Source organism: Homo sapiens, chromosome 4 (genome assembly GCF_000001405.40).
Source record: "Homo sapiens chromosome 4, GRCh38.p14 Primary Assembly".
In the NCBI taxonomy this organism is placed as follows: domain Eukaryota; kingdom Metazoa; phylum Chordata; class Mammalia; order Primates; family Hominidae; genus Homo; species Homo sapiens.
The window spans coordinates 120902932-120922777 of NC_000004.12; the positions used below are offsets into that span (position 1 = coordinate 120902932).

The 19846-nt window shown below is 39.4% G+C and overlaps 1 protein-coding gene across 22 annotated transcripts in view; it reads right to left on the reverse strand.

Moving 5' to 3' along the window:
- The window catches only part of PRDM5 (PR/SET domain 5), a 238436-nt gene extending 218641 nt beyond the window's left edge, over positions 1-19795 (reverse strand). For 21 of the 22 annotated variants that reach the window (XR_938678.2, XR_938680.3, XR_938679.2 and 18 more), the window contains exons 1-2: positions 19585-19795; positions 4543-4626 (exon numbers count right to left, since the gene is read on the reverse strand). Coding sequence is in view for 19 of the 22 variants with exons in the window: in XM_047449558.1 (XP_047305514.1) it covers positions 4543-4626; positions 19585-19677 (177 nt within the window). In the remaining 3 variants the exon portion in view is untranslated. Of the gene's footprint in view, positions 1-4542; positions 4627-10323; positions 13160-19584 lie in introns of those variants that run through there. The other variant, XM_017007668.3, reaches the window with a different exon arrangement.

The following is a 19846-nucleotide window of genomic DNA, read 5'->3' on the forward strand; positions in this document are numbered from 1 at the left end:
CACACCTACCAGGAGGCTCAATCCTGACTGGTAACTCCAAGTTCTTTGGTATGAAATGGCTCCCCAGGGGCTCTTGGCCTTGTCCACCACAACCACTGGCATCATAAGCAGAATACAGGTATAAACTGAGAAGGAGTTATGCCACATGCTCTCTCACATGACATCATTTTCCAGACACTACCACCAGGTTCTGGTTCATGTTCCATAACCACAACATATGTAACTATTTTTTTGAGAAGGACTACTCATTTGAGAGCTTCATTGTGGTTAGCACCATAGATATGGGGCATAGCAGAAATGACTCCCATAACCAATCTAAATTTACCCACCAGAGGAGGGAAGGCTCATTATCTCCCTTTGGAAAGACTCAAACAGTTCCACAAGGGGCAGAAGCAGGACCAGTAACAGGACCAGTTATTCTCCTGTATCTGTGCTCTTTCTGAATCCTAGCACCTCCAAAGCTAAAATAATAAAAAAATAAAGGACTTTCAATGGTATAACTCAGGGTTTGGAAGCAGCTTGCTCACTCAACATAATAAGGGACAAGATTAAAGATAGCAAGCAATAACTCTGCAATTCTAAAAGTGTTGTTCTTGAAATGTTCCCTCTAGAAGACCTACCACAGAATCTGTCCCTTCCCCTGTCCAGCTGCACAACTGGGCAGAGCAGGGAATGGCTGATATGGTTTGCCTCTGTGTCCCCACCCAAACCTCACCATGAACTGCAATAATCCCCATGTGTAAATGGCAGGGCCAGCTGGAGATAATTAAATCATTGGGGCAGTTTACCCAATACTGTTCTCGTGGTAGTGAATAAGTTTTACAAGGTCTGATGGTTTTATAAACGGGAGTTCTCTTGCACAAGCTCTCTTGCCTGCCACCATGTAAAACATGCCTCTGCTTCTCCTTTGCCTTCCACCATGATTGTGAGGCTGCCCCAGCCATATGGAACTGTGAGACCATTAAACTTCCTTCCTGGCTGGGCATGGTGACTCACATCTGTAATCCTAGAACTTTGGGAGGCCGAGGCCAGCAGATCACTTCAGGTCAGGAATTCAAGACCAGCCTGGCCAACATGGTAGAACCCCGTCTCTACTAAAAATACAAAAATTAGCCAGGTGTGGTGGCATGCACCTGTAATCCCAGCTACTTGGGAGGCTGAGGCAGGAGAACCTCTTGAACCCAGGAGATGGAGGTTGCAGTGAGCTGAGATCGTGCCACTGCACTCCAGCCTGGGTGACAGAGGGAGACTCCTTCTCAAAAAAAAAAAAAAAACAAAAAAACCTCCTTCCTTTATAAATTACTCAGTCTCAGGTATGTCTTTATTAGCAGCATGACAACAGACTAATACAATGGCTGACAATCCGAAATGAAGACGAGACCAAGAGGAAAAAGAACCAGAAGGGGAGGGGGAAGGTATATGAACTAAGGGGTTAAATGTATCAAAAGGTCTCAGGTGAAAAAAACAGGCTGGAAGGGAACAGAGACTTTTCATCAATTCCCTTTTGTACCTTCTGAATTGTGTAACAAGTAAAAATATTACTTGTTCAAAACACAGACATAAAGGGTGAAGTAAAATGAAACAGAGAATGGCAATCGTGTGAGTGTACCATTACCTGAGCATAAAAATGTATAAAATCAATAGCTCCTTGGGTAGCAGAGTGAGAGAGCTGGAGACAACTAGTGTGAAAACAAAATAATAATGCAAAGACATTAAAGAACTACAGGAATAGATAATGCAAAACTAGATGATGTACTGTGGAACTGTCAACTATATAATAGTACAAAAATGACTTTGTTTCCTATATGCAAGTCTTCCTTTTAAAATAAAAATTATTATCTGTTTAACACTACCTTATAGCTACACAAAACATTAATATGATCATCACACTAAAATTTTCAGATAACAAAACAAGTAACATAAACTATTAATAACATGTTAAAAATTGAATTTGTACCCCTTAAATTTATACAAATAACATTTTTAAAAAAGAAAAAACCTGTTAAAAATGTAGCATTTTTATCATTTTATGACTTACTAAGTTATCAGGTTTTTTTGGTTCACATAAATGTATGGTTTCTGAAAAACCTTCATAGTAAAAGAATTAACTGCTGAGGAAATTAAGACCTTGTAGAAACATAGTGAAAGCCATTAAAATGTTTAAGTACATAAAAGTAAACAAAACAGCAGGCTAAATTCAGACAATATCAATAACATTTCCCACTTAAATTATAGTGAGGACTATATTATGAATTTCCATTTTTTATCACTTGCACTGAAGAAACCTTTCAGAATCCTTTCTCAGTCACCTCCACTCCTCACCCCCAGCAGTTTCAACAATACGGGTGATGCTTAAAAATGCATTTTGCTTACAGGTAATACACTGATAGTTTTATGTATACTATGGATAGGCTATAGTACCCAATTATTTAATCAAACGCTGATATAGCAGTAAAGGTATTTTGTAGATGCGGTTAACATCTAACAATCAAATACTGATATAGGAGTAAAGGTATTTTGTAGATGCGGTTAACATCTACAATCAGTTTACTGTAAGTAAAGGAGATCACCCTCCATAACATGTGTGGCCCTCATCCATTTAGTCACAGCCCTTAAGAGCAAAAACTAAGGTATCCTGGAGAAGCTATTCTGCCTCAAGACCACAGCATCACCTTTCTGCCTGAGGTTCCAGCCTGAGGACCTGCCCTATAAATTTCAGACTTGCTACCACCACAATAACATAATACCTTAAAATAAACAAATATATATACTATCTCCTTGGTTCTATTTCTCTGAAGACCCTTACTGATACATGCAAGAGAGACTCTCTATGTGTGGAAAACTCCAGTTTTCCAACCTTTTCTGATTGCATAATCTCTACCTCCTACATGTATCTCAGCTCTTACCCTTCTCATAGAAACTATCAAATAGTCTTGGGTCACAATGCAATGTTTCAGTCAACAGTGACTATACATACAATGGTGGTCTCCTATGATTATAATACTATATTTTTATTGTACTTTTTCTGTATTTAGATCTTTTTCAATTTCATTTGCTAGAGAAGGGGTCTCCTTCTGTTGCCTAGGCTGGAGTGCAGTGGCAAGATCATAGTTCACTGCAGCCTTGAACTCCTAGGCTCAGGCAATCCTCCCACCTCAACCTCCTGAGTAGCTGGGACTACAGGCACGTACCACAAGGCCCAGATAATTTTTTATATTTTTTTAAGACATTGGGTTGCTATGTCGCTCTGGCTGGGCTCCAACTCCTGGCCTCAAGCAATCCTCCTGCCTTAGCCTCCTGAGTACCTGGAATTAGGCACAAGCCACTGTGCCTGGCTTGTATAGATACATTGGATCCACAAATGCTTGCCACTGTCTTCCAATTGCCTCCATTACTCAGTACAGTAACATGCTGTACAGGTTTACCGTCCAGGAGCAATAGGCTATACCCTATAGCTTAGGAGTACAGTAGGCTATACCATCTAGGCTTGTACAAATATGCTCTATGATGTTCACTTGATGACGCATTTCTTAGAATGAATCCCTGTCATTAAGTAACACATGCATATATAATTCCTAGGACTGCATTTTCCAAATTTTTGTTTCAACAGTCTACACCACTGCTTTCCTATTTTGATACCTTAGGTCCTTTTTCTAATGCCTAGAAAAGAACAGCAACGAATATAATTGGCATAAACTAGGATGAAAATTCTCATAACGTGCAGACATATACTGGCATATACAGATCTCTGCTTAAGTGAAACTTTAGACTGCAAAAGACTGTCTCTAGTGTTACAACTCCTTAACTATGTGTTTTTAAAGGTAAAGTACATTTTAAGGCGGGATTTTTGTTACAACATGAAACTGAGATTTGTTTCTATACAATTAGAACTTCAACTAGTAAATAAAAAAAATTAAGTATAATTTTATTTACAGAAGTCAAGTTCTAAATTCAGGGCATGCTTATTTTGAAAGTCAAACATCACTATACCTGAAAAACTTATTTTTCAACGAAGAACTTCAGATCTCTAAAAGAACTGTCTAGTAAGATATCTCAACAGTCCACTTTCTCTAAAAAAAAAAAAAAAAAAGCTGAACTTTTTTTAAAACCTAAAACATTTTGGCTGGGCACAGTGGCTCATGCCTGTAATCATAGCACTCTGGGAGGCCGAGACGGGTAGATCACCTGAGGTCAGAAGTTCAAGACCAGCCTGGCCAATGTGGCAAAACCCCGTCTCAACTAAAAATACAAAATTAGCTGGACATGTTGGCATGCGCCTGTAATCCCAGCTACTCGGGAGACTAAGGCAGGAGAATCGCTTGAACCTGGGGGGCGGACGTTGCAGTGAGCCAAGATCGCACCATTGCACTCCAGCCTGGGCAACAAGAGCAAATCTCCATCTCAAAAAAAAAAAAAAAAACCTAAAACATTTCAATACTTAAATACTTAACTGGAATCAATATCAATTAATGTAGCCTTAAAAATGCATTAAATGGTACAATACAAATATATTTTTAACATTAAAATAAGTCATATCCTCACCTCCCACATCAACCTGTAATCCATATTTTCATCCAAGTCTTCAGGCATTCTCTTCTCTCCAGCAAAGGGTCCGAACTTTTCACCCTGAGTAGCAATGATTATATTGAACAAGGATTAGTACAATAAATCAACATACTAAAATAAACGACTTTTTTCTTCTGGAATGTTTTTCTGCAAATCTTCATGCCCAAAGAAGAGATGCTTTTGAAATATTAACTAATTTACCCAACACAAAATGTTTATTTACAATCCAACTTAATCTGTTTTTAGCCTAAAACGCTAAATCCACAACATAGGAGCAACATAAAAGGGTTAAATCATTTACTTTCAAATTCTGACAAGGCACTGGACATTGTATTTCATATGTTTCAATCCTCTTCATAGCCTCTGGCAAGCGATGTTGAAAAAAGCACTGAGTTTTGTCTGACTTGAGAGACAAGCCCACCAGGCAGAAAATCACCTGGTTTCCATAAAAATCATAAATTCATCCATATTCTGGACAAGAAGGACGTGGGCTTGGCATTCTCAGAGGAAGAGTGTTCATAAATAAACTTTAAATTTGCCTGCCAATCTTTCAAACAGGCAAATGGGCACACTTTAAACCATGCTTTCTTGAAGTGTGTGCTTTGAAGCCCACATGCATGAGAAACACCCGTGTTACTAGTTTGAGATACAGAATTCTGGTCTTTGTTAAAATCAGAATCTGGAAATGGGCTGTCCTTCAATCTACCCTGACGGGACTTTTAAGGACATGTTCAATGGGCAAGTAACACTCTTTTCTCTCTAAAGTGACCAAAGCAGGGACTGCAGAGACAGTGGGAATGAGTTGAATTTGTCCAACCAGACATTTTGTTGAAATGTGTGCAGAGGAGACACAGAGCCACTCATGCTTCTAAACCTGCCTATGACTATTTTTCAGCAGAATCCTTCCCTTCACATGGAGGTGATGCAAGAAAAAAACCAACAAAATCTCTTTTGATGAACATTGTAAGGAGAAAAGATAACCACTAAGGCAATATTTCAAGGATATAAATTACTTAATGAACAACAGAACACCCAACTCCTGAGAACAGTAAAATTTTAAAGCTTAAAGAATTACAAATATTAATAGTTAACCCAGCCCCCTCATTTTACAGATGAAGAAAAGAGGTCCGGAGAAGCCATAAATACTGGCAGAGCCAGGAAGACCATTTCTTTAATGTTAACTTAGGGGCAGAAAATACCCAGAGATTCCTCAAATCAAGACTATAATTGTAAGTAATTTAAACACAGGCATAGCAAAGAAACAGGGAGATTGCTCACTATTCATAACATTAGAAATATTAATACAAAGTTTAGACAGCCAATTTCAGAGAAGCTAGAAGCCTACTCTGCTTCACAATCCTCTCATGCCTCACTAGTCCCCTCATGCTAAAATGGGCATTCAACATCACACTTAAACACAACAGCCCCAAAGAGGCTTTCTTTACAAAGTAATCACTTCTCTCCTCCAGATGGGACCTAACCAGGATTTGATGGCAGGTAGGAAAAGCTCCACAAGAACAGGGGAGAAGAGTTAACACTTACTGAACTACCATGTGCTGCATTCCAAATAATCCTATGTGGGAGTTTCCCCATTTAACAACTAAGAAAATTGAGCCTCGGAATTTAAATAGCTTGCTTGATTAAGGTCAATCAGGTGGCGATGATTAGACATAGTATCAGGAACCAGTGGTTTATTCTGAGTGGAGTGCTCAGGCAACATCCACTTCACCAAGCCAACACTCAAAACCCTGACAGACAGCTGCATGGTCCACTGCTGAGGCCACCTGATGCCACCTCCTCAGCTTTCCATTGACTACAATTTAGCAATGACCTGGGCCGTGCAATTGCCCAATGTACACACTCAATACATTGACTACTGAATTGAAGAAACTGTGAGCTTATGTTAAAGCCAATCTAGAAAACAGACCAAAAAATAAGGTGTGTTTTCTGTAATAAATGTGAGGGTTAAATATGAATGAATGTGGTTCCATTTTCGGTCCACTCTGTCATGTATTTAGCCTTTATCAACTATTACAGAAAGTAATAATAATCTAAGTACACACTTTCCAAAGTAACTGATCTATCCAAACCAATCAGTTCCTCTTTGCAGTACAAATTTGGAGGGGAAAAAAAAAAGTGAATCTATCAATTCAGCAGTGTTCAGAGGACTAAAGAGGAAAGAATAGAAACTCAAATAAATGCAATGGGATCGGGGGGTGGGGGGTGCGGGGGAAGCCTGCTTGGATGCAGGCCTAGTAAGATTATTAAAAGACTTAAAGCTCTGAAAATTCAGATTAAGCAGAATGCTGATTTTAAAGCTTCACCATTAATAGAGAACAATCACTCTCTATCATAAACTCAAACCACCAAATTATAATAAATAGTGGTTTTTAGCTTTAAGAAATGTATTTTGTATCTCAACTTAGCACATTCACACATACACAGAAACACACACCTATAAAACTGAGATACTTAATATTTCAGGAATATCCTTCAAAGAAAAGACAAAAAAAACCCTGTGATACTGTATAAATTTCTTCATATTTTCTACTCTGTGTTATTTCATATGCTTTAAAAAAAAAAAAGAGTTTTGACCCACTAAATTAATTACAGAACTCATTGATGGGCTGCGATTCACAGCTTGAAAAACACTGACATTAAAAACACTGATAGGGGAGGTAAATTAGCTTTCTATCTTTGATGACATTTCTTCAAAGTACCTTACCGGGTCTGTTACAAAGAGTTCATCAAATAAACTTGAATTTTCATGGCTGCAAGATTATAAAAATGTAAATAGCCAACTCTCAATTATCCATACTACTGTGGTGAGAAACAATGCAGATATTGAAAACCTAATTTATATTTGGCTTTAGATGAAGATTTTATACTGAGTAGACCCACTCTTAGGAAGCCTTCCCCTAGGGATTCCAGCACCAGCTACCCAATCCTTCTCTCTCTCTTTGTTCACTGTTGTCTCTATCATACAAACAGTAGTTTCTTAAAACTGTAATTACAATTTTATTTTTATTCACTAACCACATTTCCTACAGAGATTCTAACTTCAGTATAAGCCTCTTCTACCTCAGTGGACTTCAGATCTGCTTGGGCAGCACATCTATGAAAGGGAAGTTTGGGGCACATACCCCATACATATATAATTCTTTTTCTTTTAGTGGAATTATATGAAATTGCCAATATTTGACCATTTTTGACCTACAAAATGAAAGTTTTTCATATGATTCATCATAAATGAAGTATATACATGTGCCTTAGTAAATTAAACACCTAGGAGGAGGTTCAAAATTAATGACAGGAAGGAAACCTGTATTTCAAACACTCTTCTTGAAAACTTCAAAAATTTCTGGCTGACTTCCTGATATCATTGGTTTTACTTTTTGTAATAAACCTGCTGAAGATTTCACACTAGCAGATAGGAAAACTGTCCGCTCTTCCATTTTCTTGCTGTCCATTTGTGCCTGCATTATTGGTATTACCTTTGACTTGTGATTTCTTTGCAAGAACTTTCCTAGACTTCTTCACTTCTATCTCAAGAGTCACCACCTCAAACACTTACAAGTTAGGCAGTAGGGCAACACAACACCAGATACCCAACCATAAACATGTAAATGATATTTTAGAGAGTAGCCAGGAGGTAAGGTGGAAAGAGCATGCCACCTAAAAACTTTTCCACTCCAACTGAATGTTGCTGTATCACCATGTGGACCCAATGTTGCCAGATATATACATGATTTTTAGAGAAGCTAATAACTCAAATTTGTGTGTGAAATCACTGATTTTTTACACTGTCAATGAATTCCAAGAACTCAACACTTTGTGCAGGTCAAATAAAATGTGACTTCAAGATAAATTCAGCCTGTACACACCAAACTGTCTGAGTCAAACTCACTTCTCAGACTGATCCAATGTCCAGCCCATAATGGAGCATCTTTGTTTTTATTCAAACTGTTTCTGAATAAAGCAGATAATTAATCCATTCAATCTTCTATTCACTGGACTAGACAGTAACTTTTAATAAACAAAAACTGTATGATTGCAAAAATGTGGGCCATTTTCTCTCATTTTGCTGAATGTTATTAGTGAGAAGTTAAAAACAAGATTCACTGCAGATATCTCTCTCAGAATTGTGGGGAAAAGCACTATCTTCTAAGCCTCAGTCTCCTTATCTACAAAACTTAGGGATTTAGATTAGTTGATTCTAAGATTTCTTCCAGCTTTTAAATTCCAATAGAAAGAGCTTCCACAGACCAAATTTAGAACAATCTGAGACTCAAACAGGACAAGAGGATAACTGATTGAAACACATTAACAAATTTGTAAGCCCATACTGTCAGTGAGAGAAAATGTTTTTAAAATCTCATTTGCTATCATTAGAGGATAATAAGTTATTATTAAAATTAGTAAAGAAAAGGAATTAAGCATTTTATCCTGCCTTTTCAATACTAACCATAGTTCAGGCTAACCAGACAGCAGAAATTGATGATGAAAAGCTCCTCTTTACAGGAGAATGCTAACTTATAAATAAAGGGGGAATATTTGAGTTAGCGAATCACCATTTTGAAATCCCTAATAATATTACTGATTTGGCAAGAATTCTCCATGGATACTAAAACCATTAGGCAAAAGGTTGATGGTGAAAAAATATATATCCATTTAGCAGTATCAGCTCACAGATTACTTGCTAAGAACAAAGGGGAAACAGGACATTTACAACAGAAAAATTACCTTAACCCAATGTTGGCATCAGTAACAGTGGGAAGCCAGATACATTATATGCCCCCTACTGTTATGCAGCACAAATAAACCAGCATCACTCCATAATGTATTTTTGCCAGAAATATTTATATCTAACTTCCAGACTGCAGGAATTATAGAAGATAGAGAAACAAGTTAAATAAAGCCCTGGGAATGTAATCAGGTAAATCCAGATGTGAGATATTCTACAACTGACATGATCTCTTCAGAGAGTCACTGTTATTAAAAAGGGGGAGGGAGGGATTAAAGAGATATTTAATAGACATAACTAAATGTAATATGTAGTCTTTGATAAGATCCTGGTTCAAAAATAAATAGCTATAAAAACATTTTTAGGCAATTGGAGTAATTTAAATATGGACTAGCATTAGAAGACATTAGGAAATTACTGTTATTTTTGTTGGATTTGCTAAAACAGCATCATGGCTATTTAGGAGAATGTCCTTATGCTAAAGTATTGAGGGGTGAATTGTCACAACATCTGTAATTTACTTTGAAATAGTTCAGAAATAAAAAATATACATATAGATGAAATAAATACATTAAAGTGAATCAATCTGCAGTTGAGTCATTTATATTTGAAATAATGATGTTTTTCACAGAAGGAGACTAGAGTCCCCACTTAGAACATAATTATGTTTCAATGTTAAACTACTGTGCATGGATGTGCCTTTGCAATATAATTAGACCTTCAATAGTGTATTAAATGTGTTTCTTAAAAGTTCAATGTGAAAAATAACCAATCTTCCTTCCCCACTGTAGGAAGTCTGAGGCAGACTAGTTGCCTCCCTATATCCATTCCCATTAGTACTAGAACACTGATCGTGTTAAGGGTACTAATGTATCCAGGTAAAATACTATATTTATCTCGAAGAGAAGGGAGCAAACAACCTGTGAGTAGAAATCATTGTATGGAACTATCACACAAGTTCTTAAATGAAGCTGAGTCAACTAGAAAGTATACCTAATCCTGTTTCTCCCTACCTGGAATATGAGCATGATAGCTGGGGCTGAAGCAGCCACCTTGAGTCCAAGAGAATTGCAAAGACTTCTGCCCTGACATTTTGAGCCACTGAACTAATGGCCACAAACATCTTGTTCCATCTGCCAGCTTCCTGTTAGAGGGAGAACAAAAACTTCAAGTTTAATTACTGCAGTTGTCTCTCTTACTCCAGTTGATATAGCAGAGGTCAGGGGAAAGAAATGTAGTGGTGCCTATAATAAAATGGAATTATTCTTTATGAAATGCATCACTTATGAAATAATACAAAACGGAAATGCAGAAGAGATGCGACAAAAAGAATTGTGGGTATATGGTGACCTGAATGCAACACCTTTCCCCTTCACCCTCAAACCTGTTACTTTCCTCTCTTGAGCAAAACAACTACTACTAGCATCTGTGGGCAAATGGATGCAAGTGAAGCCTTAGGTTCTGGCAGAAATCTGGTGTGAGGTGTTCTCTCCAGTAGACTTAGTAATAAAGTAGAGGACAGCAGAGTAACCAGGGACAAGGACTGAAAACCAGGGAATCCCAAAAAGAATTTGAAAGTCAGAGATGGAGGGGGTCACAGCCCACAATCTTTCCTGCTCTTGATGCCCACAAAAGTACAAGGAGACCAGAAAGCTGACTGACAGGGAACTGACAGCCTATCTGCCAGTGCAGGCCCACTGAAGAGAGACCCATTTGCCTTCTACCACCTGCAGGACTGACGCCACAGAGGACTATTCAATAACAGTCTTGAGCTCCAATGAGTCAACCAAGGGATACAGCCCATACAAAGGAGCAGAGCTGCTAGAAAAAGGAAGATAAGGCAGAAGAATTAGACCCACGCTCTGTGTTCTGCAGCAGACAGAATACCTCAACTAAAGGGAATACCTGAATTATCTAAGAAAATTTAAGGAGATTCAAATACAGCACTCAAAAAAAAAAAAACTTTTAAGAGTTAAAAACCATTAACTTCCCAATTAAATATCTTTACAGAATGAATTGAAAGAAAGAGATAAGAATCAAATTCAAAAAAAAATCTCAAGTGAAAACTACGAACAGATAAAAATATGATATTTAGAATCAAATTCAAAAACAAAATCTCAAGTGAAAACCATGACCAGATAAAAATATGATATTTAGAGAACAGATCCAGGAAACCTCACATATAAAACCATAACTCCAGAGTATTTTTTTAAAGGGATGAGAAGTGTATTAATCTATTCTCACACTGCTATAAAGAACTTCCCTAAGTCTGGGTAATTTATAAAGGAAAGAGGTTTAATTGGCTCACAGTTCCACATTGCTAGGGAGGCCTCAGGAAACAGAATCATGGTGGAAGGCAAAAGAGAAGCACGCACCTTCTTCCAAGGGCTGCAGGATGGAGTGAGTGCAAGCAGAGGAAATGCTTTGTATCAACTGCATTGTATCAAAAAGACACCTGCACATGTATGTTTATCACAGCCCAATTCACAATCATAAAGAGATGGAATCAACCTAAGTGCCCATCAGCCTATGAGTGGATAAAAGAAAATGTATATATACACAATGTAATACTATTCAGCCATAAAAAATAACAAAATAATGTCTCTGGCAGCGGCTTGGATCTAGCTGGAGGCCATTATTCTAAGTGAAGTAACTCAGGAATGAAAAACCAAATACCACACATTCTCACTTACAAATGGGAGCTAAGCTGTGGGTACACAAAGGCATACAGAGTGGTATAATGAACACTGGACACTCGGAAGAGACAGGCTAGGAGGGTTATCCAAACTCCATATTGGATTTAATATACATTACTCAGTGAGTGGTACACCAAAATCTCAAACTTCACCACTATACAATTCATCCATGTAACCAAAAACCACTTGTACCCCTAAAGCTATTGAAATAAAAAATATATAAAAGTTCAGTTTCCACCAAGAAGGTTAGTAAGAGTATCACTACTATCCTAACAATGAGAATGATAAACTGCAAAATCATAACTTTTCTTAAGGAGAGCACTAGCTTACCTGTGGCCAGTGCCCTACTCCATCCACCATCCAAACAAGTAAAAAATCAACTAACATTTTAACAACTTGCTAAAGGAGGAATGTGAGACAGAATGAAGGTATAGAACTACAGCAAGCCCCAGACCCAAGAGATGCTCACAGGCATGTTCACATTATTTTCCAAGGACCTCCCCATGTGAGAGAGGTTTGGGAACAGATGGGAGAACAAAGAGACTTCCTCAGTGATGCTGTCATGCAAGAGCGGAACAGCAGCTGCTGCAAGAATGGCATGACAGTGTACACCTCCTGTCCTGACCTTTTTCTCATATCAGAAGAAAGCCTTTAGCTACTGAAGAAAAGCAATAAACTATGTCATCCCCAGGATGACCCCAGTAAAGATCCACCACTGCGGGGAGAAGGGAAAGAAACAGTACAGGCTCAAGCACTTAGACCACAACCATCAAAGGACTCCTACCACTGGGGAAGGGACAAGAAATGTTCACCCACAAAAGACCAACCACTGACACAAGTTAAAAGATTAGCTCTCCTAGGGAAGAGGAGCAGGCATATTGAGAAAGCCCAACTCCCAGTGCCCAGGCAGAGAAACCCTACATAAGAGGGCGAATGGAACAAGACAACAGAGATCCTTCTCCCATACCCCTCACCATCAGCCCACCCAGCACCAAAAAATAACACAGCGAAGTCCACTGTGGGGAGAAGAACAAGAGCAGGGCAGAAGGGCAGATAAAGGCTGAGAAAATTCATTGCCAGAAGACAAGTGTTATAAGAAATGTTAAATGAAGTTCTTCAGCATTCAGAATATGATACCAGACAGAAACTTAGTTCAAAATAAATAAATGGGCCAGGCACGGTGGTTCATGCCTGTAATCCCAGCACTTTGGGAGGCCGAGGTGGGCAAATCACTTGAGGTCAGGAGTTCGAGATCAGCCTCACCAACATGGTAAAACCCTGTCTATTAAAAATACAAAAATTAGCCAGGTGTGGTGGTGGGCACCTATAATCACAGCTACTCAGGAGGCTGAGGCAGGAGAATAGCTGGAACCTGGGAGGCAAAGGTTGCAGTGAGCTGAGATCGCACCTCTGCACTTTAGCCTGGACGACAGAGCAAGACTGTATCTCATAAATAAATAAATAAATAAATAAATAAATAAATAAATAGCTAAATGTAATGGTAAAAAGTAGAGGTACATAACAAAGACAATTTGTCTTCATTTTAATTGCTCTAAAAGATCACTGATGATCTAAAGAAACAAGAGTAAAAACGTACTGTAAGATTTATAACATAAAACATAAAATGTGTGACATTTTAAAGAATGGGAAGGAGGAACTGCATTATACAATTGTATCTCACTGACACTTTGACATATCCCCTTGCTGTCTAACAGACATCTCAAAAACAACATGCCTTAAACTGAACCCGTGATCTGCCCTCTTCAAACCTCCTCCACCCACAACCTTCCCCATCTCAGTTGTTGGCTGACAATCCAATCCTTCCAATTCCTCAGGCTAAAATCCGTGGAATCATCCTGAATCCTTCCCATTCTTTCACACTTCACATCCAATCCTATCAGCATGTTCTGTTACCCCACACTACCAAAGTAGCCACTATCTTGGTCTAAACTGCTATCACCTCTCACATGGATTACTGCAGTAGAATCCTAACTCTCCCAGTTTACACACTTGCCCTGTGGCAAACTTTTCTCAACAGAACAGCCAGAGTCATGCTTGATAAACTTATGTCACTCCTTTGTTCAAAACTCTGCAGTGCCCTCTCATTTCACGCAAAGTAAAAGTCAAAGGCTTTGCAGTGGCCTAAAGGGCTCTAAGCAGTGGATCTTCCCCTAACACTCATCCCTTCATTAGCCCTCTGACCTCCTCCTCAACTGCTTGCTCATTGCATTCCAGCCACACTGACCTCCTTGTGCTTGGACCACAACAGGCAAACTCCCGTCTTAGGTCCTTTACTGTAGCTGCCTCTTCTGCACTTAGAATGCTCTTCCCGTAGATATATGTTTGGCTAATTTCCTACCACCCTTCAAATAATTGCCCAAATCTCTCCTGTTTAGTGAGGATTAACTGACCCATCTAACATGTATAGCATCCCACACACACACCCACACACCTTTTCTGCCAAGTCAACCATACCTAGCTCTTTTTCTTTTTTCTATAATTCTTATAATATTTAACATAGTATAAAATTTATCTTATAGGTCTGTTATCTTGTGTCTTCCCTCACTGGACTGCAAGCTCCCCAAGAGCCAGAATACCTATTTTCTTAACTATTGTACCCCAAAGTGAATAGTACAGGTCTTGGCATATAGAGTGATAAAGATTGTTAAATGAATGTGTAAAACAAGACCTGAATAAATAAAAATTATGGCACATCCACAGCATAGACTATAGTCAGACATTAAAAAAAAAAAAAAAACAGAGCCAAGGTAGATACAGGAATTTCCACAAGATACCGTCGAAAGAAGTGTGAGATGATGAAGTGAGTTTACTCTTTTCTTATTTTTGTAAACTTATGTTTTTTTTAAAAGTGTGCATGTGTTTGTATATTTGTGGATATAGCATTTTATCAGAATAGAGAAAAAACATTTTTAAGGAAAAGTGTATATGGAATGACCTGAGTTCAAATTTTCATTAATCCACTTATGACTGATGTAACCTTCCTCAACATCACCTCTCTCATCTATAAAACAGGGATACTAACAGCCCCCTTGCAGGTTTATTGCAGGACTTCACTAAAAACTGTGTAAAGCATCTAGTGACTGTTGTCTCTGTCACTCGCTTTTCTGCCACTAGTAACTAAAACAGTGCCTAAAAACTGCCATAGTTCAATAAATACTTATTGAATTAATTGTAGCTGCCATTATCACAAAAAATATAGTTTGGAGAAAATGTTAGAGTAGTTACATAGTTTAAAAAATGTTTAATAACACCAGGAAATACAAAGCTGCCTTGAGTCACTATGGAGAAGTGTGAATGTGTGAACACAGGGAAGAGATAGCATATACGGCAGGCTTCATGATTACTTTTCCTCTGATTATGTTTCCAGATTAGTTATCATCGGCCACCAGGAAATGTAAGCAAACATTGGCTGGCAGATTTTTAGCCCTAGGATACAAATCCATGTTTCTTCAGACAAGTCACCTTCTACACTGATCAACACAACACCTTATCCCACAAAGTCTGCTCTTCCTGTATTAACATTTATGCATGGTGATTTTTCCTCTACAGGCTTTTATTTACTTATCTGTTTCAGCTTTTTTCTTTCTTTGATTTTTTTTAACTTTGTAAAATTTGACTTTTGTTTTAAAATCTTACTGTATTTTTACAAACTCACCTTTAAGCCTTTACGTCAGGTATTTTTTTTTTTTTTTTTTTTTACTTAGGATTTTACCTCACCAAATGACCTTAGTACAAATCCCTCAGTGAGAATCAAGGTGTGTGCCTTGGTTTGGAAAGGAGGGAGTTGACACTGTGGAAGGCATAGGAATCTGAGAGGCAACTGTGAGCTGCAAGACTCCCTGCAACTCTCTGGGCTTCAGTGTTCTCACCTGTAAAATGAGGATGTGCCAATTAGATGATGTCTGTTAACTCAGCAAAAAATTACAAGATATAATTTTAGAAAAGGAGAGGCGGAGACAGGACTTTATTTCTCCTAAATGGTTGCAGCCTGCCAAGTGGCCAGCCCACAGGCTGGGAAGCATGCCTCTGGCCAAAGCCCAGAGACAGGCACTTTGAAAGAGGAAGAACTTTATACTGAACAGGCTGGCTCTCTGCACTTCTCTTCCTAGAGAATCTCCTGGCTGGCTCAGCGACTTCAGCTCTCTGCTCAGAAGTCATTTCCTCTGAAAAGTCTTCCCTGCTGACCCTCCTAAAGTAGACCCACCCCTCATTTACTCTTTAATGCCTCATCCTGTTTATTTCCTGCAATTAATTTAACACTTGCCTCAATCATTTTGGTAATCTTCCATTTTATACTTGTTTGCTGCCTATCTCCCCACATAAGAAAGCAAGCTCCTTGCAGAAAAAGACCTTGTCTGTCTTGCTCACCTGTGTATTCCCAGGGCCTAGTACAGTACCTGCCACATATGAATGATTAAATGACTGAAAGTCAGAGAAGAAAAACCTACAGCCTAAAATATCCAAAGGGAAAGAAAGCTGAGAGCAGTGTATTTCCACCTTAATCTTTCCCTTAAAATCACATAATCTGAGAGCTTGAAATAACCTTTCCACTTTGCAGTTTCAGGTACAATATCAAAAAACACCACCCACTGGTGGTTAATCATATAAGCAAGCTAGGAAAAAAATGGTCATGAAACAAAAAATGTAATGTAGTAAGGTGTCTGCTTAACTTTAAATTTTTATTGGATGTATACTTAATTTATGAGTTTTGAGTAACTAATATTAATTTTAATCTGCATAATACTTTGCAACCTAAAATGCCACATTTTCACTGAAGCATTCAACTGTGCTCCCGAGAAAACACAGCAAGCATTAGACAGGGTCTGGCACACAGCATGCAAAAAGTGTCAATTTCATTATTTTTCCTTATTCTGATTATTAGCAAATCACAATGTGTAAAAGTATGAATGAACTCAGGTCTCCTTTTTCTTCTCAAAAGCTTTCTAACTGACTCTTTTCGTTTTCTTGAGTTGTCACTATACAGATTTTTATACTGGAAAAAAAATCAGAGGCAACAGACCAGCAAAAAAGGATAATTGCCAAGGAAAAATCTAGTAGGACTAAGGTAAAGCCAGGGAATTAGGTGATTCTGCTGCAAAGACACCACCACTCTAGGAAGCACTGCACGAAAAGGGGTAGGACTAGAGGATTAAGAGGTACCACCAGCAAGAAAATCCCATCTCAACCTGGTGAATGTAATGAGGGTGGGGTTTCTAGCAAGATTCCCCAACCTCAGTCTGGATTAGATTCTCTGAATTTGAAATCAACAGATGGCTTGAATTGCAAGCACTTTTTAAAACAGGAGTGTTATACAAGCATATGTGTTATAAAAGTGTGGCAAAACATCTGTAATTTCCAACACATGTATTAAAAGTGGTATCTTCCAAAATTTGTTTAGAATAGAGAGCATAAAAACTTTTAAGTAAGGTTCTTAATGTAGCTGCTGATAAATCTCTCTTCTCAGATCCCTTGATTTATGTCCAGAATTAGGCCTAGTACAAGGTTACTTGGAAAATACCTAAGAATTGAGGGACTGTTTGCCTTCCATAAGCAGGTAAGGGATGCCTTGATACTCAGCTGCAGCCTCACAATTCAGCTAAAGTCTGCTGTTTGGCTTTAGCTTTGTCTTCGTCCTCAGATTTTGGAAGGAAAAGGAACTGAAGCTTGCTTTAAGGTCATTTCTGAGATCAACAAACCTGTCCATGACCTTGTGACTGAATATTTTGGGATCATAACTAAACATCGATAATAGTTTGGATTCATAGCAAACATCTGCACATTCACTTTGAAATACAGCGAAGCATTCTAAATATGATCTGGATGAAAATCTGTATGTGTTTTATTTATTAAAGTTAAACTGGCCAGGAAAAGATAAGCATTTATCATTGCAATAGTAAAGTGATGCAATAATATATGATGATTTTGGAAGCTGTTCATTTCATTGCATGCCCAAAAATAAAATACTTACAAAGAATCAAACACATGAAAAAAATAAACTGAAATTAATAAAAATCTCAAAAGAAAGTAGGTTGGCCAGCTGTTTCTAAAAATCTATATGGTAATATAAGGAAACAACAAGGATTATATAATAATTCTAATCTTTGCAGAGTTGTTTACAGTACTCTTCATAACATTAAATAAAATGATTTTTAAGATCTGTGTTTAATTTTTAAAGTAATTAAATTTAAGCCAGAAACCTTTAAGGAAGGTCTGTTTGAGAATTTTTCACATCTTTTAAGAATGAATTAAAAGGAGAATTTCAACTCTGTACAGACGTCATTTGGTGATGGTTGTATTTGGCCTTCAAAAAATGTTGATTTTAACATTTGGCCATTTGGCAACTATTCAATACACCTCTAATTCAGATAAATTATTTATTCCTGTTTTTAACATTTGAACATTCTCGCCAACTCCCACTTGAAAAAATAAATAAGTGGTTTATTTTCTCCAATTTTGCCCTGAAGGATGACTGGAGATCATGTTGTCAGTGGAGCCCTTTTTGGGGATTACTAGCACTTTCTACTACTCTTCACCAGCTCTTTAGGTCAGAGGCAAAGGGGAGAGGGTTATATGCAGATGAAAGGCACCCTAGTGTCTCTACTGCATCCTCTGAACCTCTTGTTAACATACCTTACCTGAACAAGCCTGTTCTTGCCCAAACCTCCATCTTACAAAATATCTACTAAGAAAAGGGGGCGAGGACGGCTAGGACGACTCTAACAAGTTATAATATTATAAGATCAAATCCAAAGAGCTGGACTTTTCCTGTGGCCTCTCTTCCTAGGCCTTTGCTTTCAACATCCAACACTTTCAGGCCCTTCCTGTACGAACTGAGCAATGTGCTTCCTCTCATCACATGCCTGTAACTTTCTGGCTGGAGAGATCGAACCGATGTTGGAGACAAATTAAAAAAAAAAAGAGCGGAGAAAAAAGGTATAGACACTCAAAGATCATCTGGTTGGCACCTCCCTGAAGGCACATATAATACATTCCAGAAGGAGGGAAGGAAATCCTGGGCGTATGAATGAGATTCTACGGCCTGCGTGGAGCGGCGCTCTGGGCTGCTCCTCCCATCCCCGCATGGAAAGTTAGGCGTTTCTAGCCACATTAATTCATCCTAAAGGAAAAGAGGCGACAGCGGAGCAGCGTGCGCGCGGGGGAAAACACCCGCCCACGCGTGCCTTCGCCAACGCAAAGACGCAGCTCACACCCGTAACCGAGGAAGAGGGAGGCTCCCGCCGCGCTCACTTCCTGCGGGAGAGAGGAAAGACATCTTGCGGCAGGGAGGCCGGTGGCAGTTCCGCCCCTGGACCGGCCGGCAGCGGAGCGCACCCCGCCGCCACCTACGTGGCGCTGCCTGCTCGGGTGGCGCAGCGAGTAAAGGCCACCCCCGCCGTGCCCCGCGGTCCCCGGCCTTCCCACGGACGCCTGGCCCGGCCCGGGCGAGGGGCGACCGGGGTGAAGCCCGCCGCGCCCCGGGCCCTGCGGCAGGGCGACTCCGGGAGGCACAGGGCGCGCGAGGTGCAGGGGCGCGCAGGCCGCCGCCGGGTCACCCACCTTTCGCACTCTGCGGGCCGTGTAGAGCCCCATGCCGTCCTGAACCCGGGAGGACTTCAGGGAGAACCTGTCCGGCACGTACATGCCCAGCATTTTCCCGGGCGCGGCGGCCGCCGCCTCTCTCAACACCGGCGCTTAGCGCCCGGCAGGCGGCACATCGAAATTTGGGGTGCCAGGGTAGAGGGGAGAAACCGGCAGGGAAGGAGGAAATGGAGTTTTCCTCCCAGAATCCCCACCTCCCTGCCGATTCCAGGATCCCCCG